A 27,031-nucleotide genomic window follows, 5' to 3' on the forward strand; every position below is an offset into this window, starting at 1 on the left:
GCCTGAGCCCAGGAGCTTGAGGCTGCAGTGAGCCAATTTCTTGGAACTGCACTCCAGCCTGAGTAACAAAAATAAAAATAAAAATATGAAAATCTACCCTTTTGGCAAATTTTTATGTGCAAAATACAGTGTTGCTCAAGTCAGGCACCGCACGGCAGAGCAGCTGTCCAGGACTTACTCATGCTGCATGACTGTGGCTTTGTACCCTTTCTGCTTCCTGATGGGGGGACTTCTGATGAAGGGGGTTTTCTGGGGTTTTTTACCCTTGCTTCTTCTATTTTTCCATAGTTTTCGAATTTCTTTAACGGACAAGTGTTATTTTTATATTGAAAAGAGACGTTAAAAAGTAGCAGAAAAAATGCCCTGGTTGTAAACCCCCCTGCAGTGGAGATGGGTGAGACCACAGCAGCGGAGCCCGGTCCCCAGCCACGAGGCGGGCGGCCGCACACCCACCTGCCGAGTCGTAGCCTCTGTACTCCAGCCGCTGCAGGCCCTTGATGAGGGTTTCGAAGATCTCCTTCCTCGTCCGGGGGACTCTGTAGTTCATGTAGGCAAAGATTCCTGTTCAAAGAGAAAAAAATGGTGCATTCATAAAATACTCAGCTCGTGTTTGGAAGAAAACGCTTCTGGGGGATGCACCGAGGTGGCATCACAAAGGTCTCCCAGGGGCTTGCAGAGGTGGGTATGCCCCTCCCTGAGCACAGCTGAAGAACGGTGCACCCCTTCTTCCTCCTGTGACAAAAACCCCCAGAAAGCCTGTGTCACATGTCTTGGGCTGGCAGTTCCACTGCTGAGAACTTATCCTATGCTGTACTTGCAGGAGGCAGCTTTCAGCGTGGCAATGTCCATAATAGAAAAGGCAGCAATGAAATCCAACCGCCTTAGGACATCCGGAAGTCCCCACCTCCATGCACTCCCTGATTTGCAGAGCACACATCTAGGAGTGCCATAGAAAGGGACAGCAGCCCCCAGGGCAGATGGGACAGGCGCTGGGGCCTTTGCTTCCACGGTCCCCTTCTCCGTAAGGCTGGAACTTGACCTTAAATAAGCACTACTTGAGCCGGGGGCGGTGGCTCATGCCTGTAATCCCAGCCCTTTGGGAGGCCGAGGTGGGTGGATCACCTGAGGTCAGGAGTTCGAGACCAGCCTGGCCAACATGGTGAAACCCCATCTCTACTAAAAATGCAAAAATTAGCTGGGTGTGGTGGTGTGTGCCTCTAACCCCAGCTACTCGGGAGGCTGGGGCAGGAGAATTGCTTGAACCAGGGAGCTGGAGGTTGCAGTGAGCCGAGATCGTGCCACAGCACTCCAGCCTGGCGACAGAGCTAGACTCTGTCTCAAAAAAAAAAAAAAAAAAAAAAGCACTACTTTTATGACAGCAAGAATAAAACCATCTCATGCCCCTTGGCCCCTGCAGAATCCTTATGTTCAAGGTAGGCCTATGAGTCAAGAAGATTTTGTTCCACTTGACTTTCTGTATTCATATTTCAAGATAATTTTCCAAACAGAAAGTTAGCCGTTGTGTTGGTTCTGCCTTCCAGATTCCTCCACTCCTTGTTTGTGATGACAGATCCTTGATGTCCTCTCTCCTGCCCTGTGCATGCCCCATCCTCATCCCATCATCCCTCTGTCCTTTCATCCTCGCTCCCACTGCTCAGGAAAACCTGCCCACTTCAAAGCTCAGCTCCAGCCCCCGCCCTGGGCAGGTGTGCTCCTGGCTCTGGCCACCTCAGTGCTCTCACGTCATGGGACACCCACAGTCCCCACCAAGGGCACAGGCTGGTGCTTCTATCTTTGTATTCCTCACTGTGTGTTGGCACCCAGTCCTGTTCACATGTGGAACAGAATATGTGATGAGTGTGTATCTGTATCCCTGGAGGGAGGCAATAGTATGGGTCATAGAAATGTCACTGGGTTTCAGGCATATTCACGGTAACTGTCCTAAGTTGGCTTGGGCTGCTGTAACAAAATACCACAGACTGCCTGGGTTATAAGCCACAGATGTTTATTCTCACAGTTCTGGAGGCCGAGAAGTCCAAGATCAAGGTGCCAGAGATTCAGTGTCTGGTGAGGGCCCGTTCCTCACAGACAGTGACTGCTCATTCCAACCTCATACGGTGGAAGGGGCCAGGGTCTCTCTGGAGGTTTTTTTTTTTGTTTTTGTTTTTGTTGTTTTTCTTTTTTGAGACAGAGTTTCATTCTTGTTGCCCAGGCTGGAGTGCAATGGCACGATCTTGGCTCATGGCAACCTCCGCCTCCCGGGTTCAAGCGATTCTCTTGCCTCAGCCTCCCGAGTAGCTGGGATTACAGGCATGTGCCACCACACCTGGCTAATTTTGTATTTTTAGTAGAGATGGGGTTTCTCCATGTTGGCCAGGCTGGTCTCGAACTCCCGACCTCAGGTCATCCGCCCGCCTCGGCTTCCCAAAGTGCTGGGATTACAGGCGTGAGCCACCCTGCCTGGCCTGCAGGTTTTTTTTTTTTTTTTTTGAGACGGAGTCTAGCTCTGTTGCCCAGGCTGGAGTGCAGTGGTGCCATCCTGGCTCACTGCAAGCTCCGCCTCCCAGGTTCACACTATTCTCCTGCCTCAGCCTCCCGAGTAGCTGGGACTACAGGTGCCCGACACCATGCCCAGCTAATTTTTTTTTGTATTTTTAGTAGAGATGGGGTTTCACCATGTTAGCCAGGATGGTCTCAATCTCCTGACCTCATGATCTGCCCACCTCCGCCTCCCAAAGTGCTGGGATTACAGGCGTGAGCCACCACGCCTGGCTCCGCAGTTTTTAAATAAGGGCACTCATCCCATTCGTGAGGCCCATGTCCCTATGACCTAATCGCCTCCCCAAGGCCCCACCTCCTAGTAAGACCACCATGCAGCTGAGGATTTCAACAGATGAATGACGGGGGAACAAACTCTCAGGCCACAACAGCGACTCGCCTCACTGAGAAGTCCCTGTGGGCCGGGCACTGGGCCACCAGTTCCCACAGGGTCATCCTATGCTCAAAACAGCCTCTGAGGCTAGTCCATGGCCCTCCTCTTAACTTCTGGACCAGAGCCACAGGGGAGCCTGTGACTCGTCCAGAGCCAGAGTGGAACCAAGAATCCCCGACTCAGGACTTAAACACTCCTACCCACTGGCCAGTACCCCGGGATGGATGCCACGAGGGTTACAAGAAGGTTTATTTTCCCAACTATGTTTTGCTGGGATGAGAGAAAGGTCTGATCAGGATTGAAATTTTTCCAGAGGTGAACCTCAGAGAGGACAACCTGCCCCTAGATAACAGACAGCTGATTGTGATTATATACGAAACCACCTGGAATATCTCTGGTAATTAAGAAGATCAGATTCATGTCAATATGCTACATCTGAATAAATGATAAACTTCAATGAAATGAATGTTATATTCCTAAACAGTGAGTGGGGTCCCATCATATAAACTTAATTAATCTATAAACAGTCAAAAATAGGCAATAAAATTAAATAGTACTATAAATTATACTTAAATTCTTACTGAAAGCTACTGTACACAGGATATGTTTGCACATATGTATTAAGGTGGGGGATTTATATATAAAAATATGTACACTATGCTTTCTGAGCAGTTACAGGCGTTTTCCTTTAAAATCAGCCAAGGGCAATTTTCTCGGTAGGCTATTTTTGTCTTCCTTGCCATCTTTAGATCAGGTGAGAGGAGCTGAATGTATGGGCTGTGTGTGCAGTTCAGGCCCTTCTCCGGCAGGGCCAAAGTGTCCCCAGTGAGGGCCGCGCAGCACTGCTGCTGAGTATTTATGGTTCCAGAGGCTCACACGACAGCCCCCAAACATCTGGGCATGGGAGGTACTTTTGTCACCTTATTTTTTAAAAAGATAGTTATTTTTTGATATGGTTTCGCTGTGTCCCCACCCAAATCTCATCTTGAATTGCAGCTCCCACAATTCCCACGTGTAAGGAGGTAAATGAATCATGGGGGCGGCTCTTTCCCATGCTGTTCTCGTGAGAGTGAATAAGTCTCATGAGATCGGATGGTTTTATAAAGGGGAGCTTCCCTGCACACACTCTCTTCTCTTGTCTGCCGCCACGTGAGATGTGCCTTTCACCTTCCACCATGACTGTGAGGCCTCCCCAGCCATGTGGAACTATGAGTCCATTAACCCTCTTTCTTTCGTAAATTGCCCAGTCTTGGGCACGTCTTTATCAGCAGCATGAAAATGGACTAATACATCTTTTAATGTCAATTAAAAAATTTTAACAGCTTTCTGGAGACATAAGTCATGTACCGTAGCAGCCTGCCATCTAAAGCATGCGATTCAGTGGTTTAGTATATTCAGAGTTGTGCAATTATCACCATTCATGTTTAGGTGAAATGTTTTTTTTTTTTTTTTTTTTGAGACAGGGTCTCGCTCTGTTGCCTAGGCTGGAGTGCAGTGTTGTGATCTCGGCTCACTGCAACCTCGAACTCCCAGGCCCAAGCTATCCCCACAGCCTTGGCCTCCCAAAGTGCTGGGATTACAGGCATAAGCCACAGTGCCCAGCCTAGGTGAAACTTTTCATAACATTAACTCTTCTAAAAACAACCAGAGGCCAGCGCAGTGGCTCACGCCTGTAATCCTAGCGCTTTGGGAGGCCAAGCTGGACAGATCATGAGGTCAGGAGCTCAAGACCAGCCTAGCCAACATGGTGAAACCCTGTCTGAACTTAAAAAATAGAAAAATTAGCTGGGTATGGTGGTGCGTGCCTGTAATCCCAGCTACTCAGGAGGCTGAGGCAGGAGAATCTCTTGAACTCGGGAGGCAGAGGTTGCAGTGAGCTGAGATCACGCCACTGCACTCCAGCTTGGGTGACAGAGGGAGACTCCATCTCAAAAAGAAAAAAAAAGGAAGAAAGAAAGAAAGAAAAAAACAACAACCAGAAAGTTCCCTGTGGGGACATGGTCAAATTGTGGTCAATGTAAAGACCACAGTTAAGCGAGGGAGGGAACAACTCAATAAAATCTGTTAGAGTCTTTTACACTGAACTTTCCTGGCATCCTGGGCTGGGAATGTTCTAGAATTATACTTGTACCACCCTAAGGGAAGCAGACAGACATCACAGATGACACAAAGGTTCAGAAATGTACCCATTGCCAACTCTGAAAAGGTTTTGCATCTGAATGATGTTCCCGAGTGCATAATGAGTCAGCTCTGCAACTCCCCCCTGCAGCTCCCCCACCTCCCAGCCACACTTCACTCCTGCACACGTCAGGCGAGAACGTTCGGCACGCTCCGCAAGGCACCGCTGACTTTCAGACCCACGACAGCCTCCTGGACAGCAGCGGGGGCATAAGGGGTCCTTGTCCTCAGGACCACCAGCTGTGTCCGTACCCAGCCAGGAGGCCCGGTGCCCACTCAGGCACAGCAGGGGAGCTGACTGCAGTGAGAAAAGCTGCCAAGGAGTGTGGTTTTCACCATCTTGGCGCAAGAAAGCATAAATCTCATTTTCACCACGAGCCCTCTTGCGTAGTGACATCCCTTCGGTCACTTCTTTCATGAAGGAAGCTCTGTTTCTTTGCTTTTGCAGCTCATCCTCTTGGCTGGATCCTCCCTGCACTCTACTGCACTCAAGTGAATAAAATAGCGTTCACGCTGTGCTCTTATCATTTAAAAATAAAACACAGAATAAAATGAAGCTCCTTTCCCAGGAATTTCTCCTGCTATTTACATCAGAATTCCCTTTTGGAATTCCTTCCATCCATAAATAAAAGCTACAGTGAGAATCCACTTTTTTAAACCCATGAGGTCGGTAAAGATCAAACAGTTGGACAGTGAGAGTTTAAACTCACATACCCTCTTTGGAAAGCAATCTGGCAATCTCTCAAAATTAAAAATGTACACATCTGTGGACCAGAGCTGTTGGGCTTCTAAGAAGGTATCCAGCGGACTTTTTGCAGAGATGCATGTGCACACGTGCGAGGACAGCTGCTCAGGGCTCTTGTGGTTGCCAAAGACTAGTGACAGTCTGATGTCTGGCAAGCGACAGGCAAGGGACAGGCAAGGGACAGTGCAGCCACACAGCAGGGCCTTTTACAGGCAGCCCTCAACAGAGAGCAAGGGAAAGCTGTGCATTCTCTTGGAAGGCAATTTAAATCTCCAAGATGTGTCAAGGGAAAAAGAAGCTTGCAGAATATGAGTAAATTACGCAAGGGCTGGGGGAGGAGCATGGAGCATTTCTAGAAGGGCACCACGCCCAGAGGGCAGTCAAAGGTAGCCTCTGAGGTCACTGGATGTTGAGCAGAAACTTCCTTTCCACTGCACGTGTCCTCTTTAGATGGTTAAGACATTTCACCGTGTGCCATGGCACATGTGCCCCTATGTGAATTAGGTGGTGATGAGTACATCACCATTATCTAGATGCCAGATAATGTCTAAATAAGCAAAGACTTCATTCTATCCACAGGGGGATGTCCTAGCCAAGGCCTGAGGGTTAACATGGACCGACTGTTTGGACAGTGGTGTACATGACGCAGACCTGCCTGGTTCACCTGGATTTCCTGTGGCACAGGCATTCTGCTGAGTGGGACCTGAGAGCTTCTGGGTACAGGAGGAGTGACCGTGCGGCACCTGGGACCCCCAGCCAGGCCGGACCTCTGGCTGGTTCTGCTTTCCACCGGTGCTTGAACCCTCCTGGCATGTCCGAAGCACCAGGGCCACAATGGCCCTTCCCTCTGCAGGGGACGCCAGGCCTGCCCTGGCCAGGCCTTCTTGCCCCTCGACAAGAGGGGCCGGGCCCACCTGACTTGGCTGGTCCCCTGTTCCACTCCCCTGGAAGAGCAACGGCCATAAGAGGGCTGTAATAAGGGGCAACCTAAGCACATGCCCCAGCCTTAAAAACACCAGCCCAGGGCCACCCGCCTGGGTTGGCTTCCTCCCTGCTGCTGCCATTCACCAGCCAAGGCATACCCAGAAGCACAGAGGCCGTGGCCAGTGCCGGAACCCACCTCGAACCCCAGCTCCACCCCTTGATTTCAGTGCACTCTCCAGCAAGCCACTGAATGTTCGGACCTCAGTTTCCCTGTCAGTGAAACAGGGTGATGGCTACAATAGTGCCTGCCACAGGGCAAGGAGCTTGAGAAATTATCCCTTGAGAGATTTATCATTCAATAAAACCAAGGGGGAAATAGTACCATTTACTGTCATTTCATCTTGGCCTTCTGCCTGGGGAAATAATGGTTAAACCAAATGCGTTACTTGGTTGTGGCTTGGTCAAGATTTAATTCATCTGTAAGCAGTTCTCAGGCCCACAAGGCCGCGTTGCTGTACTAGGTGCTGCAAGCTACTGGGATGGACCCATCGGGGGGCCTCACTGAGCGCTCCAGGGAAGGACAGGGATGCACAGGGACCTCCCAAGCCCACAGGGGAGGTGGGAAAGGGCTTCCCGCTGGGGTGGGAGTAGGCAGCTCTTTGCAAGGCTGGCTCTTGCTAGCTCTTCGCAAAGGCGCCTCTGACCCATTCTGCAGGTTTTAGCAGATCTTTCCCACCACCTTCTCCAGCCACATAGCCCTGGTTATTCCACGCTGCACTTGCTTCCTTGTCTTTTTCTTCGGCTCCCCGCTGGATTGTAACCTTCTGGAGGATGGGACCACATCTGTCTCATCCATTGCTGAGTCCCCAGCACCTGGCCCAGGGCCTGGCACATCTTAGGTGCTCAATAAATCCATGTTGAGTGAATGAATGAACAGATGGAGGAATGCCAGAGAAGGTAGCCTTTGAGCTGGGTCTGAGACAGCCACGTTCAGCCAAGCATAAGCAGCTCCGCTCACTGGGACCCACAGCAAGGACAAGAGGGACACAGAGGCAGGAGGTCCCTGAGTGCCAGACCCTTACAATGGGAGCACGGTGCCACCAGAACTCTCGGTTAACCCCAAGATAATCAAACACAGAGGCTTACATCCCCCCGCACAACACCCCCGGCCCCATGCACCATGAGGATCCCAGGACTGGCATGAGGACAGCCTTCTAATCAAATGAGCCAGGGCCTAGGGAAGGCTCCCAGAACCCTGCTGGGTAAACCACCATCTACAGTGGCTCCCCGCATGCCAACCCTTCCCGAGCTTCACCTCCTCTAATCCTCATGACATCCTGTGTGAAGAGACTGTGGTTCCCAGGGATAGAGATGGCATCGGAGGCTCCACTGCCAAAGACTTGAGGAATTCACAGCCAGGTCTGCCTTTTTGCAAGCCTGGGCTCACCACTTCTACCCCCACCTCCCCACAATCAGCATAGAAACCTATCCCAAGAAGAAAGGTATAGCTCACACAGAGGGTCCCTGGCTTCTGAGGAGATGCCCGCCTAGCACCAGATGGGTCCAGGACAGGTGCTGCCCCCTGAGAGCCAAGCCCCACCACGGGACAGTCCAGCTTCCAACTCCACCTTTCTCCTCCTGTTCAGCCCCCACCCCACCAGGGCCTCGGTGACCACGGCAAGGCAGGTTCCAGCTACATCCCTCTCTCGTCTTCTCTGCCCCGCGGGCCCACCGCGTGACGTCAACCCCTCCTGCTGTCTGGCCTGAGCCCGCCTTGCTCCCCATGCCACCCTGCAGCTTCCGCCCTCTGGGTCCCACTCCTGCAGGGTGCCCTCAGCCCAGTGCGTGCGCCCCTGGGGCCCCCAGGCCTATGCACATGTGATGCCTTCTCCAACCCCCTACCCCAGATGAAGATCTTTTCCCTCCTCTGAACCCCTTTTTCCAACTTTCCGTCCCCTTTTCAAGGCATCTGTCACTTTCTACCTTGATCTACTGCTCTTTCCTAGCCTCCACTCCCAGGGCTGCCCACGGCGTAAGAAAGGCATCACTGGCAGGCGACAGGATTTTAAATGAGCTGAGAACGGGGCAGTAAATAACACCAAACTTCTTTGGGGGAAAGTTTTCCCCTTTCTGTTACTCTTCTTAGCTTGGAAATCTCCTTGCAGAACTGAGAGGGAACAGACATCAGGCCTAGCAAACCTGGGAGCAGTCTTATTTCTCACATTGAAGAGACAGGGGATGGACCCAGCCAGGTGGGGGATGCTGAGCGCCCAGAGGGGCTGGACAGGGAGGTGCCTTCAGGTTCCCAAGAGCCTGCAGAGGGTTGGGATTGAGAGGCCAGGAGAGCCGAAGGCAGGAGAGCCTGAAAATGCAGGCTTTATGGAAAGTCTGAGATACAGGAGCCTGGAGATCTTTCTAAAGAAAAGGAGCACTTTGCAACCTCTGCAAAGATGGCCCTGGGCCAAGCATCCTTCCTACCAGCAGGAGAGCCCAGGTGGCTTGGAGAAAGGCCCGGCCTGGGGGCAGAGGCTGCCCTGGCCCCACCACCCAGTTTGGTCATGTGCCCTGTGGTCACCCACCCAGAGCTTCCAGACAGCCTTTCAGGGCCCTATCCTCAAAATTGATAGATAAAATGAACCGGGAAAGGTCCCAGAAGGAGAGGGACCGAGAAAAACTCAAGGGGATTCCAGAAGGGATTCGACATGAGCCCTCCGAGAGGAGACTGTAGCCTCTTGGCCCCGGCTCACTGCTATATTCTGGGGCTTCCAGCACTTTCTCTGCACAAGGCCCGAGAGATCACACAGGAAGTCAGGAGCAAAGACATCATGAAGGGGCACGCAGGCAGGGCCTCTGAAGCTCAGGGTTCAACCCCCAAGTGACAGATAACGACAATGGCCAGCGCAGGGAGATGATATTCCCTGGACACCCAGCCAGAAGGTCAGCCACACTAGGGCACTGAATTCCTGGGATTTCCTCTACAGCCCCTGGAGTGCTGAGCGTGGGGGTGGAGGGGAGGGATGATTTGCGGCCTGGGGGATGGGGAAGACACCACTTCGCAGCAGCCAGGTTGGGCCCACGTTCTGATTCTGGTGACGCTTGTTTTGAAAAATCTCTCCAACTTTCCAAGCATCGGCTTCCCAACGAAAGCCCAGCCCTCACTCTGAGTGAGGGGACCGTTCCAGGGAGAGGCCCAGCCAGTGCTCCACACAGGACAGGTTGGCTCTGGAAGCTATGTCACCACCCACCCAGGCCAGGACTCACCCCTCAGAGATCTGTCTTTCTCCCACCATCTGTTGCTTCTCCGAACTGAAGGGGCTGACCTTTATAGTCCATGAGCCTCCTAGAGATTAGGTATCATCCCAGGTCCCAAACTGGATTACTTCCTGCCTCAACAGAAGAGTACGGCCAGTTGAATGTCTGCCTCAATGAGGGCTCGTGAAATTCCCGAGCGTGTGCACGTGTGTGCCTGGGCCTGCCTGTGTGTGTTGGGGGAAGAGGGACAGGTCCACTCTCCTGGGTGAGGCCCACAGGTGTGGAGAGTCCCCTGGGCCTTGGGCAAGGGCTGCTGAGGAGCTGTGGCCTCTCATACACTGGGAAAGGTCACTTGGTGAAGCAGGGATGACAATTCCTGCCACCTCCTTGCAGAAACAAGATCAAAGCTGGAGGTGCCGCGGATGCATGTGATCCCACGCCAGGCTCTTACAGAAAGACAGAGGAGCCTGCGGGCCTGGCGGGGGCCCTGAGCAGACGCGGCACCTGGCTCAGGGTAAGAAGGGGACTTGGCTCCCCTGGAGACAGCCCCAGACTGCCCCAGGCCTCTTTGGGACCCCAGGAGTTAAAGTGACCTCACCATTGGAATCCATGAGATAATAGACTCTGCTTCCTGTGGTAACCTGGACAGGACATTTCTTTTCTTTTTTTTTTTTTTTGTTTTCTTTTTTTGAGACAGGGTCTTGCTCTGTCGCCAGGCTGGAGTGTAGTGGCACGATCTCGGCTCACTGCAACCTCTGCCTCCTGGGTTCAAGCAATTCTCCTGCCTCTCCTTCCCGAGTAGCTGGGACTACAGGTGCGTGCCACCACACCTGGCTAATTTTTTGTATTTTAGTAGAGACAGGGTTTTACCATGTTGGCCAGGATGGTCTCGATCTCCTGACCTCGTGATCCACCCACCTCGGCCTCCCAAAGTGCTGGGATTACAGGTGTGAGTCCCCGTGCCCGGCCATTTCTATTTTTTAATAGAAAAGTTGCCAGTGTCCCTTTCATTCTTACAGTTTCACCAAAAACAAAGAGGGAAGTGATATATATTTAATTAAAAGAAAAAAAAATCTTAAGAAAAGAAGGGGACAGGTACAGTGGCTCATGCCTGTAATCCCAGCACTTTGGGAGGCCGAGGTGGGAGGATGGCTTGAGCCCAGGAGTTCAAGGATGCAGTGAGCCATGATTGCCCCACTGCATCCCAGCCTGGGTAACAGAGTGAGACTCTGCCTCTAAAAATAAAAATAAAATACCTAAATAGTTTAATTGTTTTATTGTGAAATTCATTTTCAGAATTTTCTCTCAAACTTATAACCTCAAATTAATCACTCTTTATAAGCTAATTTTGCTAGATACAAAAATAATCTCTCAATTGAAAAGCACTGTTTACTGATGCTATACCATAAAGTTATAAAAAGAAGGTTTTTCTGAACTTGGGAATCCCCTGAGGAGACAGTGGAGGGCTGCAGCCAGCACAGAGACTGGAGCGACACAGCCACAAGCCAAGGAACGCGGCAGCCCCAGGAGCTGGGAGAGGCCGGCGACAGATTCTCCTCAGAGCCTCTGGAGGAGGCTCAGCCCTGAAGGTACCTTGATCTGGGCCAAGTAAAACCGATTCTGGACTTGTGGTCTCCAGAACTGTGAGCGAATACATTTCTGTTGTTTTAAATCAGTAAGTTTGCAGTCATTTGTTACAGCAGCCAGTGGAGACGAACACACCAACCAGGACAAAAGACGGTGATGTCAAGGCAAGGGCTTCACCTTCTGGCAAGAACTAAGAATTCTCCAGCTCTTCACAGTGATTGTTTTTTTTTTTTTCTCCCTCACAGATTACTAAGTGCAGTATGGGACGCACAGGGACAGTTTACAAATTCGTGGATGGGAAGCGCAAATCCTTCCTGCCAAATCCCCATGCATGCCTGGTCCATGCTGCCACACTCCAGCTCATGCTGTGCCCCAGCCCAGCGTGCCTGCCACCCCCTCCTCTCTGCAGGGCCCGTGCTCGTGTCTGGGTCCTTGTGGCACTGCCCCAGGTCCCTCCCCTTCTTCCTAGGAAGGTCAGCTCCTGCCTCTGTTGTGCAGAGTCCCATGAGTGAGGGAGGCAGCTGGGAAGGACTGGGAGAACAGGCGAGTTTGTGTCCATCACCCAAGGGGTCACCCAGGCCCTATTTGGAAATAAGGACTCCAGGTTGCTCATCTTCAGATTTTGTCAAGAGAAGCCAAAACTCCCACCTACTTATGTGAAATCTCCCAATTTTGTACTTTGGTAACTAATAGAGGAAAAGGTTTAAACCCTGTGCACCAAACAAAAAGATGTCTGTCTTCCCTGTTCGGCCAGTACTCTACCAGGCTGTAGCCCGTGCTCAAGGTCCTCCCTCCACAGCAGCACTGCCCTGATCGGCATCCCGTCCCTGCTGGTGACCAGTCTCTGGACTAGCCCTGCGGCTCACCTGCCCCTTCTTTGAGGGGAGGACCACACCCATGAGATCTTCGAGTCCCCCAGGGCCTGGAAAACACTGGGCATTTCCACTAGTGGCTGAATGAAAAAGGAAGCAGAGAAGGAAAGGAGAGAGACAGGGAGGAAATATTGTAAATTTTCTGTCGCAGAAAGTCAGCAAAATGCCAGCAACTTTCAGATGTCAATAAAACCAAAGTGTCATTTCAGCTAAATTCTCAGTGCACTGAAAGTTTTTGAGAATCATCTGCTGTTTGTAGAGGATCAACTACTGCCGAGTCCTGGCTTCCCATGAGAGAAGCAGCAGGATAAAGGACAGCAAGACATAATCTCAGCAGTGTCATCAGCCAAGTGATAAGGAAGGGCCTTAGGTCTCCGCCCCTGAGGGAACGGCCCAGGAGATCTGAGACCCGAGGCCTGCTCAGACGCCAGGTGCGCACAGACTTCGCAGGGCCTCAGCTTCCCCAGCGTAAAGTGAAGAGCTTATCTGGTTCTTTCTAGGAGCATCTTCACGATTCTTGCAGTATCCTTGTACTAATAGCATAATCACTACTTTTTCTTCTGCAGAATTTGATTAAATTTTCAAAAATTTAAATGAATTCATGCCAAAAGAAAACAACCATAAAAGGAAAATCAGTATCACTTGTCATACATACTCAGACCATCATCCCCCCCAAACAGACCAATGTATTCAATTCTAGCCAGCTGCTGCTGCCTGCTCTGAGCCAGGAATGGCTTCCCCTCTGCACAGGATACTTAAGCAAGTGTCAGAGAGATGTTAAGGACACGTTAGCACCAAGTTGAAACTTTCTCCTGATGTTCTTGAAAAGGAAATAACTTTCCCATGCAGGGATTCCACGACTTCCTGCTGAGCTGTGCCCTCCCCACTTCCCCCACCCTGCCCCCAGCCCCAAATCAGCAAATCTGGGAATTCTGAGAAGGCACCTAAGCCAGCACGCACTCTTTGATTCTGGCTCCGAGTGGGCACCCCCATGGACCGCAGCCACTCCTGAGCCCTGGGTGTCCTTTGGGGACCTCAAGCTCCTTCTCACATACAACCACAAGTCAGTACCAGAAAATCTGAAGATACAGGTGGTCACACCCCAAAGCTCAACCTTTCCCTAGGAGACAACGCGTGTGTGTCCCTTTAAGAAGCAGAACAAAAACACTTGTGATTTTGTGAGCTGGAGGAGGTAGAGCCCCCCCAAAGCTCAGAGAGACTTGGGAAAAAGCAAGATGCCAGTAGGAAGGAGGATGACAGGCAGGGGTGGCAGTGGGGGCAGAGGAGCATCTGAAAGGAAGGGGAAGGGGAGCCTCTGGTGCTGTGGGCAGACCCTCCTGGTTCAAGGGTCTCCTGCACAAGTCTGGCCCCAAGGCCACCAGTTTTGGCCAAGGGTCTTGAATGCTACACTGAGAGGTGTGGAACATCAGGGCTTGGACATCTGGCAAAACTACCACCTTTGCCTCATCTCTGCCCCCAGAAACACCCAAAGGTGGCTCTACACATGGAGAATGGCGTCTGGGAGCACGAGATTTTAGCTGAGGGTTCAGGAATTTCCACGGATGCCTGTTCAGCCTGGGTGAGGCGGCATCCCGAAGCACGCTGCCCGCTCCGCCGTAGGTCGTTCCCTTCTGCCGAGCAGCTGGCCTCCGAGACAAGAGGCCTGCACAGACCTCGGCCAGGGCTCACCGCGGGCGCACCCCACCCCGGCCCTCAGCAAAGTCAGAGAGAGGCCTTTCATGGCTTCGAAAGTTCCTCCAGGTCCTCCAGCCACAGGAGGCTGGAATGGGTAACCGAATCCTACTCAAGGAAAAAAAAAAAAAAAAAAAAGAGCACAGTGACCTTTTGTCCCAGCAGAAGTTCCCGGCTCTCTCCCGGCCAGCGGAGGCGGCCCAGCCAGGAGAGTAAAGAATTGCAGATGTGCGCTCCGGGCCGCGGCCGCCCTCCCCACGGTCCCGCAGCCACGCGGGACAGCGCGGGAGCGCCGCGGGAATCGGACGCCCGGCCCCGCTCCCCGCCCCGGACTCCCTCTCGTGGCTTCGGGCCGAGGTTCGGGCAGTGACTGCCTCTTCCCCGCGCAAAGAGGCGGTAACGCGGCAGCGACCCTTCTAGGGACCAGACGTTCCTTTGGGGTCGCGAGGAGGACGCGCAGGCCCTGCCTGAGGCACTGACGCAGCGGGGGCGACCGGGCGGGCTGCGGGGACGGCGGGGCGGGGTCGCCTCTCCTCTCCTCGGTGGGCGCGGCGGGCTGAGTCGGGATGGGCGCCCCGCACTCGGGATGCGCCGGCCTGCGCGTGGCCGCCTTTGTGGGCGACTGGGAGACGTGGAGGAGAGCGACCTCGGTCGGCATGGGGTGGGGACCCCTCTGTTACGGGGTCCAGGCCGGACCGGACCAGGTCCCTCCCCTCCGTGGGGACCGGGCCTCGGTCCCCCTCACTGTGTCCGAGACCAGGAGTCGGGTTGGGCATCCCCCACCCACACCTCCGAGACGGCCACTCGGGGAACGCGGGTGAGGGGCAGCCAGGCCCGGCCGACGACAGCCCCTCGGTAGGGGCCCGGGGCAGATCGGCGCCCCCAGCCAGGTCCTCGGCGCCTGCTTGCGGGCGGAGGCGCGGAGAGGCTGCGGCGCCGGGACCCGCGGACGGCGTGGAGGAGGCGGCTCGGGCGGGCGCGGCACTCACCGCACATCGTGGCTGCTTCTCGGGCTCCTTCGCGGCTCGAGGGGGTCTGCCCGTTCGGACGCTGGGGCTCCTCCGTGGGCTCCTCCGTGGGCTCCGTGGGCTCCGTGGGCTCCGCGGGCTCCAGCTCCCGTCCGCTCGGCCTCCAGCCCTTATAACCCGGAGCCCTCCGAGAGGGCGGGGAAGGGGGCGGGGAAGGGGCGGGGCTTCCCCCGCCCGCCTGCTCCCATTGGCCCCCGGTTGTCGTGACAACGACGGGACCCGGCCCCCAGGAGCCAGGGAGGGGGGCCGAGGGGCGGCTCCCAGGCGCGGGTCGGGCGTGTAAGGCTGGGGCGCCGGGCGCCAGATCCCGGAGCGGGGCTTAGGGCAACCAACGGCCCGAGTTCAGACCCCGACTCAACCAGAGTAGGCGTGGAAGCCGGGCAGGGCCCGATCGCGCTGTGCCTCCGCTTTCCCGTCTGTGAAACGGGGCTACCCAGGGAAGCTCCCTCCCACGGGGTGCTGAGAAGTCAGACGGGCCGCGTAAGGGGCAGAGCGAGGGGTCCGGCATCACTCGCGCGCTCCGGAAACCCGCGTGAGCCGCTGTTCCTGCCGCGCTCCCATCTGAGTGACAGGCTTGTTTCAGAGCTCCGCAGACCTCTAAGCCTGGCCCTCACCCTGCGTGGAGAGAACGCCCGGGCTTGGCGGAGAGACGAGAAAACCGAGGCTCCCGGAGGCAGACAAGGACTCTGCCAAAACCGGACGCCGCGGCGGTGGCAGAATTCGACCCTGGGATTTGCCGCGGAGCCCGAGCTTGAAGGCGAGGGTTCCGCAGGTTGTGAACGAAGCTGGAGGCGCCCCAGGAAGCCCCGACCCCACCCGCGCCGAGCTGCCCCCTCCCCAGATCTGCCTCGCGCTGCAGGCCCGCGAGGGACCCGGGGGTTCCTACGCCTGGGGTCGGAATCCGACCCCCCAGTGAGGCACCAAGGCCCGCGTTTCTCCGCCCTGGTTCCCGGCCGTCCCTCCCGTTCCCCCTGCACTCTGGGCCCCTCGTCTCCCGAGGAAGGTCACGAGAACCGGCCCAACGTTTGCGCACTTTGAAGTTTTTTTTTTTCTTAAAAAAATCCTGAAATTCTAAACGGATCCTCCTCAGTCGTGTAAAAAAAAAAAGATTTTTACATCTCGTCTAGAGCATTTTTCTAACATAATCCCTCCCTAGTTTCACCGCGACTCTGCAAGCCCTGGGGGAAGGAGGTTGTGCCATTGGAGGGTTGGGAAAACTGAGGCTCCACGACAGCGAAGGAGGGGGCTTGGGTGAGTCCTGTTGTTGGGAAATCTCAGAGCGATTCAGGAGCCGCAGCGTTTGCCCCCAACCCTCCACTATGCAGGGTCGCTTTCCTTCCTTCCTTCTCTCATTCCTAAGAACCCACTTCACACCTGTCAGGGTGCAGGTGCAAGAGACTTATTGATGAATGAGAACAGATCTGGCCCTGCCCTCCTGGCACTTACAAGTGAAGGGGAAGCAGACACTAAGCTCGTGGTTACACAGAGAGCTAAAAATTCCAGGTAGGATACAAGGAGGGGGCTGGGCCAGCGGTGGAGAGGGTGCCAGGCTCTGCCTGGGACTGGGCAGGGCTGCGCTGGTGCAGGTGGTCCAGAGCCTAGCGAAGCCAGGAAGGAGGGAGCAGCAGGCAGTGCAAAGGTCCCCTGGATGAGGGCTAGAACTTGAATGTGGAGATCAGGTTGTTTGGCCCAGACTGGCCTCCACTGTTGTAACTGAGGCGGGGACAGGGTGATGTCAACAGGCCCTCTGATAGCACCAAGACCCCAGGAGCCCTGGGGTCTTAGCAGGGTCCAAATCTGTCCTTTATCCTCCTGGAGGAGTCACAGGTCCACGGTGAGGAACGGCATGAGTGCACACTACCACCCATGGGGATGTGTCTGTAGCAGCTGCCGGCCTAGCATCACTCCTGCTTTGAGAACCCTCTGAGAGTCATCTGGGAGGTTGATGGCCTGGGCCTGGCCACACAGCCTGGGCAGTGGTTCAGAGGTCAGCATATGGCCCAGGCTGGGACGTTGATGACCTGCTCCAGCACATGAGGGAAACCAGCAGAAAAGATGAACTTGGCCTGGTACAGTGGCTTGGGTCTGTCATCCCAGCACTTTGGGAGGCTGAGGTGGGAGAACTGCTTGAGGCCAGAAGTTGGAGACCAGCCTGGGCAACAGGGAGACCCATCTTTACAAAAAGTAAAAAAAAAAAAAAAAAAAAAAAAAAAAAGCCAGGCACGCTGGGTGCAATGGCTCATGCCTGTAATCCCACCACTTTGGGGGGCAAAAGTTTGAGATCTTTGGGATTGCTTGAGCCCAGGAGTTCGAGACCAGCCTGGGCAACACAGCAAAACCCGTCTCTACTAAAAACACAAAAATTAGCCAGGTGTGGTAATGTGCACCTGTAGTTCCAGCTACTCGAGAGGCCGAGGCACGAGAATGGCTTGAAACTGGGAGGTGGAGGCTGAAGTGAGCCAAAATTGCACCACTACACTCCAGCCTGGGCGACAGAGCAAGACTGTCTCAAAACAAAACAAAAATCCAGGTGTGATGGCACGTGCCTGTAGTCTCAGCTACTCAGGAGGCGGGAGGACTGCTTGATCAGCCTGGACAACATATTAAAACCTTGTCTCTACAAAATAATTTTTTTAAGTAAAAAAGATGGCTTATTCTCTCCTGAGTGGTGTGGCTGGTAGGAGAATGTCCTGATGATGCTGGGACCTTCTCATCACTTTTGCAGTGGGGTGGAGAGAGGCCACTGAAGAGCGGGGCAATCGGAGCAAGGCAGATGGATCTAGGATGGAGACGATACACATCAGAGCCCCTGGATTCGGCCAGGTCTGAAGCCAGGATTTATCCCTGGACTTCTCAGTATCAGGGCTCAATAAATTCTCATCTTTGCTTGAGGTACTCTGAAGTGACTTCTGTCATTTGCAACCAAGTAGAGTCCTGACTCTTGGATCGTGCTGGAACTAAAGTCTGAGGCCCAGGGGAGTGGGTAGGCAGGAAGCCGGTGGCAGCCCAGAAAGGAGACCTGGTCTGGATCAGGGGGCCCAGGAGGAGGGAAGATGCAGGGCCGTGCCCAGGAGCGTCTCTCAGCTGGACCCCATACATGTGCTTACACGGGGAGCCATGCCCAGGTGCCTCTCTCAGCTGGACCCCATACCTGTGCTTACAGGGGAGCAGGGTGCTGAGTCTGCTCCTAATGGTCCCAGTGTCCACTGCCCATCCTGCTCTCCACCGCTGGCCCCAGCCACACTTTCCCGGAGTGCCTCCACCCTTCTGGCCAGCAAGTGAGCCAAAGACCTGGCTGCTTCACCTACACAGCTTTTGCAAGCACTTGATAGTTGGGAGATTTGCTCATTGATCTGGCTTCTCCCGAACAACCCAGAGATCTTTTCCCCTCCCCCAGGCTCTACCCCCAACACAAACTGCCCAGCTGGGTCCCATGGCTGTCCAGGTAGATGAGGACTACACCTGCCATCCCTTGGCCACAGGCCCTGTTCAGCTGCTTTTCCCTGTGACATTTCCACTACGGTCTGGGGAGGGTTATGTGGCCCATGGTAGGATGAAGGCCTCCTCCAACTCCTGTGGGATCCAGGCTGGACTTTCGCCAATTCTCATGCTGTCATCAGGGTCCTCTCTACCAGTTTCCACCAGCCCAGCTCTGCCTGAATCTGGCTGGGCTATGGCTGCAGGGTGACCTGGAGTGGTCACCTGTTCTTCCTGATCTCCCTTTGCCCTTCCAGATGTAGAAATGCCAGGCACATCTCACTGTGGCCTAGAGACACAGCCCAGGCCAGGGACCACAGGGCCTCCTGAACTTCAGCAGAGGGCCCAGGGGGCTGGGGGTGCAGGTCCCTGAGGCCTGCAGCTGGGAGTCCTGCACTGGATCACTCCGTGGCGTGGGGAGGGAGATCCTAGGGGAACCTCTGAGTGCTGCCCACAGTGGGCAGTGGGTGGGGTTCAGGGAGCCCAGGGGAGACATCACAGGTGTCATGACTCGGACAAAGTGTCCTGCCTCAGGGAGGCCGATCCTCAGCTCAAACTTAAGATGATGGGGCACCAGGGGTAGCAGGACTAAGGGCCAGACCTGGGCATGGGGCAGGAAGCCACACCGCTCCACCCCCCGCCCCTCTTGAGAGGCTGGGATAGGGTGGATGGGGCATGAGCAGGTCACAAAAAAAAAAAAAAAAAGAAAAGAAAAGAAAAAAGAAAAATCCCTGGTTAGGAAAAATCTGAGAAAACTGATCTGGGGCCAGGATTCAAGGACAGCCAGAAGTGGAGAGCCAGGCAGGAAACCAAGGCAAGAATCCTTGCAAGGAGTAAGAAGATCGTCTGGGGCCTGAGAAAGGGGCAGGGTCGCGTAGCTCAGGTTTTGTCCCCCAGATGGCTTCACCACCGGCCCCCACCACCACCCCGGGGCTGAGGTGAGAGAGGGCCACACCCCATCCCTGTTATGAGGGCAGGCCAGGGTGCACAGTGGTCCTCTCTCTCAAGTTCCTGGGTGACATGGTCCTATTTCACCACCTATCTCTCTCCTCCTTTGGAGGAGGTCTGCCACAAAGCTGAACTCATGCATTCTTTTATGATTGTAGGGTTTGTTTTTTTAATAGGGCTACATATACATTTTATAACTTTTTTCTTTCTGAGACAAAGTTTCACTTGGTTGCCCAGACTGGAGTGCAGCGGCAGGATCTCGGCTCACTGCAACCTCTGCCTTCCCCATTCAAGCAATTCTCATGCCTCAGGCTCCTGAGTAGCTGGGATTACAGGTGCCTGCCACCATGCCCAGCTGATTTTTTTTGTATTTTAGTAGACACAGGGTTTCACCATGTTGCCCAGGCTGAGCTCAGGCAATCCACCCATCTTGGCCTCCCAAAGTGCTGGGATTACAGGCATGAGCCACCACGCAGTGCCTGAACCACTGCACCCGGCCAATTTTTTTCTTACAGAAGAAATACATGTTCATTTTAGGAAACAGAGAATAAAAATATTTTTAAAGGGTTAATAACTCATCTTTTTACCTACCACCAAATGTTATTCTCTGCATCTATAGTCAGTATTTAAACAACAATACAGTCATTCTGCAAACATTGTTTTGTAGCTGGAATTTGACTTCTGGTTATAGAGAACTTCAAATTGTGCTGCAAAGCTGGGATCTGGCCCAGAGTCGTCAGCGCTGTCCCTGATGCACCTCTGTGCCACGGCATCCTGGAAAGCTTGGGCTTTCCACTCTGCTTGGCCAGGAAAGGGTGGGGGTTTGTGCGAGACAAGCACTAATCTGATATTGCACTAAGCATTGACTGAGAGACGGCGCTGGTGGGAGGGCAGCAGGCTACCCCGTCGCCCTGTTCCTGTTAACTCTCTGGCAGAGACAAGGGAGCTGGGGCTGTGGGCTGAATGTTTGTGTCCCCCCAAATTTATATGTTGAAATCCTAGCCCCCAAGATGATGCTATTAGGATACAGGGCCTTTTGGGAGGTGACTCAGTCATGATGACTGAGGCCTCATGACGGGGTTAGTGCCTTACCTGAGGGACCCCAGAGAGCTACCTTGGCCCCTTGCGATACAGTGAGAAAGCACCGTCCATGAACCAGGAAATGAGCCCTCAGGAGACAGCAAATCTGCTGGTGCCTTGATCTTGGACTTCCCAGCCTCCAGAACCGTTGAGCAATAACCTTGTTGTTTACAGGCCACCCAGTCTGTGGTGTCCTGTTGTGGCAGCCAAATGGACGGGGAAGATGCTGATGAAGGTAACGCCTGCCTTTCCTCACCTGTGTGGCCCTACCTATGCTCACCCCATGCCAATCACTCAGTTATTTCAGGCAAAGCATCTTCTCAGGGACAAAAAGGCACATGCTGGGGTCCCTGCTGGAGCAGGCAGAGGCCTCACATCCACGGACCATGTGGGGAAGTAAAGTATGGCTGTTCATTTATTTTCCAAACGTCCTCGGCACTTACGTGTGCCTGCTCTGTGCTAGGCCAGGGGGTGTAGAGAGGAAACCAACCGTTTCCACCCTTGAAGAGCTTATAGCTCACAGTCTAACAGCAAATACACACACACACACACACACACACACACACACACACACACACAGAAAATAGGGAGTGGCATTCCAATTCTAACTGAATTTTATAAGTTGGAAGGCATTCAGCAGCAAATTGGGTGGGGAAGGGCACGCTGGGGTAAGGCCAGCTGAAGCAAAGGCCAGGTAAGAAAAGCAGGCCAGGCTGGGCCCGGTGGTTCACACCTGTAATCCTAGAACTTTGGGAGGCCTAGGCAGGACGATCACTTGAGGTCAGGAGTTCAAAACCAGCCTGGCCAAGATGGTGAAACCCCATCTCTACTAAAAATACAAAAAAATTAGCCAGGCGTGGTGGCAGGCACCTTTAGTCCCAGCTACGTGGGAGGCTGAGGCAGGAGAATCATTTGTACCTGAGAGGTGGAGATTGCAGTGAGCCCAGGTCGCACCACTTCACTCCAGCCTCGGTGACAAAGTGAGACTGTCTCAAATAAAAAAAAAAAAAAAGAAAAAAAGAAAAAGAAAGAAAGAAAAGAAAAGAAAAGCGAAGACAGAGAGAAAGAAAAGAAAAGCAGGCCAGGCACAGAGAATGAGCAGTGCCAATCCTGCACACCTTGTCTAGAACCATACACCCACATAAGGTAAGGAAGGAAGGTGAGTGGGAGGGGAGGCAGTAGGGAGCGGTGGTGTGTCCAGAGCTGGTTCCTGCCGGTGGGTTCGTGGTCTCACTGACTTCAAGAATGGAGCCGCGGACCTTTGCGGTGAGTGTTACAGCTCTTAAAGATGGTAGCACCCAAAGGGTGAATGGTAGCAAGGTTTATTGTGAAGAGGGAAAGAACAAACACTCCACAGCCTGGTAGGCGACCCAAATGGGTTGCCACTGTGTGCTGGGGGTGGCCAGCTTTTATTGCCCTATTTGTCCCCACCCATGTTCCATTTTTGTCCTATCAGAATGCCCTTTTCTCAATCCTCCCCGGATTGGCTACTTTTAGAATCCTGCTGATTGGTGCATTTTACAGAGCGCTGATTGGTGCGTTTTACAGAGCGCTGATTGGTGCGTTTTACAGCTCGCTCATCGGTGCATTTTATAAACCTCTTGTAAGACAGGAAAGTTCCGTAAGTCCCCACTGGACCCAGGAAGTCCCCCTGGATTCACCTCTCAGTGGTCTTCCTGGTACCAAAAAAAAGGCAAGAGGCTGGTCACTGGGTGGAGACCGATGTGTGGCGAGGGCGCAGCGTGGAGGTGGGTAGGAAGCCTGTAAGGGCCTCTTTTGAATAACTCAAGGTAGGTGTTTCAAGTTGTGTTGATGTGCCCATTCTATAAATAGACCTTTCCTGAAAGGCCAGAGCCAAGTGCTCCTGGGAGCAGAGCTTTGCAGCCCGGCCCTGACGGAGGGCTGAGGACGACCCAGTGGCTCGGATGTGCTGAGGGGAGAGGGCGGCACTTGCGTTCACCTTGGGCCGTCTGCCCCATCAGAGCCTCTTCTGTTGTTCGGGACTTCTCCCTGTAGAACCCCAGGGGGAGCCAGCCCTGGAGCACTTGCCTGGGGCTTGAAGGCTGGGCCGTGACCCAGCAGAGTGGGATGACAGAGGTTTGTTAGGAAAAGAGTTTCACACTGTGGGCCACACGAGATCTCTTCTCTGTTGCATATTCTTCTTTGTGCGTTGTTTTTGTTTTTGATTTGTCTTTCATAGTCCTTTAAAAATATGAAACCATTCTTGGCTGGCTGGGCATACAAAAGCAGGCCAGGGTCAGGATTTTGGCCTTGTGGCTGGCCTGTGGTCTGTCTGTGGGTCCTTTCTTTTCTTTTTTTTTTTTTTTGGAGACAGTCTTGCTCTGTCGCCCAGGCTGGAGTGCAGTGGCGCGATCTCGGCTCACTGCAGGCTCCGCCTCCCGGGTTCACGCCATTCTCCTGCTTCAGCCTCCCGAGTAGCTGGGACTACAGGTGCCCGCCACCACGCCCGGCTAACTTTGTTTTTGTATTTTTAGTAGAGACGGGGTTTCACCGTGTTAGCCAGGATGGTCTCGATCCCCTGACTTCGTGATCTGCCCGCCTCGGCCTCCCAAAGTGCTGGGATTACAGGCTTGAGCCACCGCACCCGGCTGTGGGTCCTTTCTTTAATGGCAGTGCTCAACCCAGGCCTGGCCATGGAGTTCAACCCTCAGCAGAGGGTGTCTGCACTGGGCCGCTTGAGGGCTGTATGTGATGGACCTGTATACGGCTGCTGTTGGCAGGGGGTGAGGAGCTCACACAGTCAATGGGAAGCCCTGAGAACCTGGCTCAGGAAATCAGCAGGGTTCCAGGGCAGCCTGGTGTCCAGAGTCCTCCAGGACAGCAGCCTAGGAAGGGGGCTCTGGCTGGCTGCACAAGAGCTACTGTGGCCAGCAAAGGGCCGCGTCTGCATGCTTTCCCAGGAAGATGCACGTGTGCTCTGGGGTTACAGCAGCCCTGGCCAGGAGCCCTGGGGGAAGGAGCCCCGAGTATGAGGAACTCCAGGCTTCCCAGAGCACATGCCCCAGAGGGGCAGCTGTGATGCAGGCCAGAGAGCCTAGAATGGCCTGGCCCACTCACTCAAGCTACCATGGTGATTGTGGAGAGGTGGGCCCTGCCCTGGCAGGTTTGCCTTCTTCTGAGGGGCCTACTTTTGGCTCTCTTGACCTAAACTTTGCCTCTGTGCCAATGTTTACCCTGCACCCCTGCAGATCCCCTCTCCACCCACTCCTCCTGCTCTGTGCCCTGTGAGTCTGGCTTCATCAGGGGGCCAGGGCCCTCTGGCTTCTGGTGGGCTTTGGCTAATGAACGACACCCAACAGGAGGTCCAGGAAGGGTGGGGAGTGAGGTCAGGATATTTGCCCTCCAGGAGGCAACTGAGTCTCTTCCATGGGCCTCAGGTTCTATGTGGTTTTCTCTCCCGCAGCTACACTCTCGGGGTCCAGCCCCTTCAGGTCTAGGAGTGGCCTTTCTCCAGCTGGGCACCCCCTTACACCTGCACACTCCCATCAAGAAATGCTCCTCAATCACTGTGTCCAAGGCTGCAGCCTCGGGGCACCAGCTGTCTGTGTCTGTCCAGGACTGTCCTGGTTCTAACACTGAAATTCCCACGTCCCAGGGAACCCCTCAGTCCTGGACGAACCGGAACACTTGTCACTCTGGCTGCCGCCTGTTTCCTTGCATTCTTGTCTAGTAAGCTGAGAGTGAGAAAGGCCCAAGTTTGGGGCCAGGCGGGGTGGCTCACGCCTGTCATCCCAGCACTTTGGGAGGCCGAGGCGGGTGGATCATGAGGTCAGGAGTTCAAGACCAGCCTGGCCAAGATGGTGAAACCCCGTCTCTACTAAAAATACGAAAAATTAGCCAGAGGTGCTGGCAGGTGCCTGTAATCCCAGCTACTTGGGAGGCTGAGGCAGAGAATTGCTTGAACCCGGGAGGCAGAAGTTTCAGTGAGCCGAGATCATGCTACTGCACTCTAACCTGGGTGACAGAGTGAGACTCTGTCTCAAAAAAAAAAAAAAGCCCCAAGGTTGGACTCCCAGTGTCTCAGGACCAGTGTGAGAAGTGCAGCAGTTGCCCAGCACTGAGTGTGGCTGTTTCTTCAAGGGGGTTGCCTCCAAGTTCTTCCTATCCCAATGCCTAGGCTGGGTGCTGGCTGTGCTACTTGCCTGGGGTTCCCGCCTGGCCCCATAGGCAGCTGAGCCAGCAACACCACATACTGCAGAAGTCCTACAGGTTGCGGGCTGGGGGGCGGGTAGGAAGAGTAGGAAGCGCTCTGAGTGTGGTGCTGAATGTCTCCTCTGAGTCTAGCAGAGGCATTTGGCTGTAATTCTTAGAACTCAGTACAGGGACAGAAGTTGAAGGTTTGGGACCCAGGACACTTCTGGTGTCTCCCTCCAGACAGTGGGTTTTGGGTGAGCCATGCAGACAGGAATGGGCAGCATCCCAAGCAAACGTCAGCTCAGCACCAAAGGGCATGGGCCAGACCCCAGAGCATGCCTGGAGCCACTCCCTGCCCCCTGAGCGGCCTTGTTTCCCTGTGCGTCTAGGCAGCTGGGTGGGACATGAGACTCTCCCAGCCTCTGCTGGTGCAGGTAGGAGGCTTAGGGAGGGTGTCCACTAAGTGAGCCAGCAATGGTACCTTCTGGAGTGACCAACAGGCAGGGGGGTCATCTGTGCCTGCTTCCCTCTCCACTGGGGATAGCACCCTGACTTCTTCTGTGGAATCACCCCTTCTCTCCACTCAGCCTGCTGGATCGTGAGGGGCTGCCAATCAACACAGTCTAGCTCCAGGCTGGACAGGGGACCTCAATCAGCCTGACGAGAACTAGCAGGTGTCATCTCAGAGGAGTCTTGCTGGACTCATCAGAAAAGAGAGGGTCTCTTTCCCGCAGAGTTACTAAGGTATGAGAATGCGAGACTGGGGTTTTGCTTGTGGGGTTTCAACTTGATCCAAGTGGAGAGACTCTGAGAGTGGGGATAAAACGGGAAAGAAGATCTGTGTGCCTGGTCCAGCCCTTCCCATAGCCACGCTTGCCTAGACTTCTCTGCCACCCAGGCTGGAGTGCAGTGGTACGATCTTGGCTCACTGCAACCTCCACCTCCCAGGCTCAAGCGATCCTCCCATCTCAGCTTCCTGAGTAGCTGGGACCACAGGCACACACCACCACGCCTGTCTAATTTTTGTATTTTTTGTAGAGATGGGGTTTCACCGTGCTGCTCAGGCTGGTCTCAAACTCCTGAGGTCAAGTGATCAGCCTGCCTCGGCCTCCCGAAGTGCTGGGATTACCGGCGTGAGCCACCACACCCAGCCTCCTCAGGCTTTTTGTTCCTTGCTTGGATGGGGGCCTTGGCTTGCCTGGCGAGGTTGACCCTTGTCCCCAGGGACTTCTGCACCATTTGCCCTCTCCTCTGGCCTTTGCTGCCCTGGGCCTGGCAGTGTTTAGAGGTCTTCCAAGCAGCCTGCCCAGTCACTTAGGCATTCCTTATCTTCATGCACACTGCACGGTGGAGGTGGGCCCTTCCCTTCTGGGAAGCCTTCCTGTGATATGGTCTTCAAGCACTGATCTTTGTGAAATTCCTCGAGGTTTCTCATGGGATGCTGGTAGCACTACCACCTGTTTACATAATCTGTGAGATGACTGACACCATAACTTTAATCTTCCATGGAGCAGTGAGAGTGGAGGTCTCACAGCTCACGATGCCCCCGGAAGCCTGTTGCCGGAGAACCCATGAGTGCTCACCGGGGCATCTGCTCCATCCTTTCACATAAGTGAGTCGCACTGTTGCTGGGGGTGGAGATTTTCTCTACCCAGCCTGAGCTGACATAAAGGGAGCTCATAATGGCTCTAGGAGGGAAAACAACTCCCAGGTGTATTCATAGACAAGCCAAGCCAATAAAACGGGGCTTCCACATTCTGAGGATATGGCCACGTGTTGCTTATGTTTGGAAATAACTAGACCCATTTACGAAACTCATCTTCCTTTTCTTGTAAATCACTTTTTGACTTTCTTTTCTCGATAATATTATCTTCAGAAAATCTTTCTGATCTTAAAGGATATGTATACACACATGTATTTTTGTTATGAAAAATTTCACACATACACAAAAATAATCTGATGGACTTCCACGTACTCATCACCCAGAGTCAGCTATTATCAACATTTGGCCTGTCTTGCTCCATCTATCCCTACAGTTTTTGCTTTGTTTTGTTTTGCTGGACCAAATCCTGATATGGTTTGATTTGCTAATACAGGCATACCTCATTTTCTTGTACTTTGCCTTATTGCATTTTTCAAAAATTGAATTTTTCACTAAATT

General features: G+C 53.7%; 1 protein-coding gene across 1 annotated transcript in view, besides 4 other annotated features; it reads right to left on the reverse strand.

The window, feature by feature from the left end:
- The window catches only part of GFPT2 (glutamine-fructose-6-phosphate transaminase 2), a 52,639-nt gene extending 37,342 nt beyond the window's left edge, over positions 1-15,297 (reverse strand). The window contains exons 1-2 of the mRNA NM_005110.4: positions 15,172-15,297; positions 454-561 (exon numbers count right to left, since the gene is read on the reverse strand). Coding sequence (NP_005101.1) covers positions 454-561; positions 15,172-15,178 — 115 coding nt within the window. The 5' untranslated portion in view covers positions 15,179-15,297. The remainder of the gene's footprint in view (positions 1-453; positions 562-15,171) is intronic.
- Positions 5,090-5,384: an enhancer, noted in NCBI's record as "tiled region #8548; K562 Activating non-DNase unmatched - State 20:ReprD". NCBI's record gives its function as "activates a minimal TATA promoter and a strong SV40 promoter by Sharpr-MPRA in K562 cells {active_cell/tissue: K562}" and the evidence as "EXISTENCE:reporter gene assay evidence [ECO:0000049][PMID:27701403]".
- Positions 5,412-6,329: an enhancer, noted in NCBI's record as "NANOG-H3K27ac-H3K4me1 hESC enhancer chr5:179770451-179771368 (GRCh37/hg19 assembly coordinates)". NCBI's record gives its function as "activates a minimal SCP1, AML or CMV promoter by ChIP-STARR-seq in naive H9 embryonic stem cells {active_cell/tissue: H9 hESC(naive)}" and the evidence as "EXISTENCE:reporter gene assay evidence [ECO:0000049][PMID:30033119]".
- Positions 13,451-13,951: an enhancer, noted in NCBI's record as "H3K4me1 hESC enhancer chr5:179778490-179778990 (GRCh37/hg19 assembly coordinates)". NCBI's record gives its function as "activates a minimal SCP1, AML or CMV promoter by ChIP-STARR-seq in naive H9 embryonic stem cells {active_cell/tissue: H9 hESC(naive)}" and the evidence as "EXISTENCE:reporter gene assay evidence [ECO:0000049][PMID:30033119]".
- Positions 15,324-15,553: a silencer, noted in NCBI's record as "silent region_16765". NCBI's record gives its function as "represses an Ori minimal core promoter by ATAC-STARR-seq in GM12878 lymphoblastoid cells {active_cell/tissue: GM12878}" and the evidence as "EXISTENCE:reporter gene assay evidence [ECO:0000049][PMID:35858748]".

This window comes from Homo sapiens, chromosome 5 (genome assembly GCF_000001405.40).
Source record: "Homo sapiens chromosome 5, GRCh38.p14 Primary Assembly".
In the NCBI taxonomy this organism is placed as follows: Eukaryota; Metazoa; Chordata; class Mammalia; order Primates; family Hominidae; genus Homo; species Homo sapiens.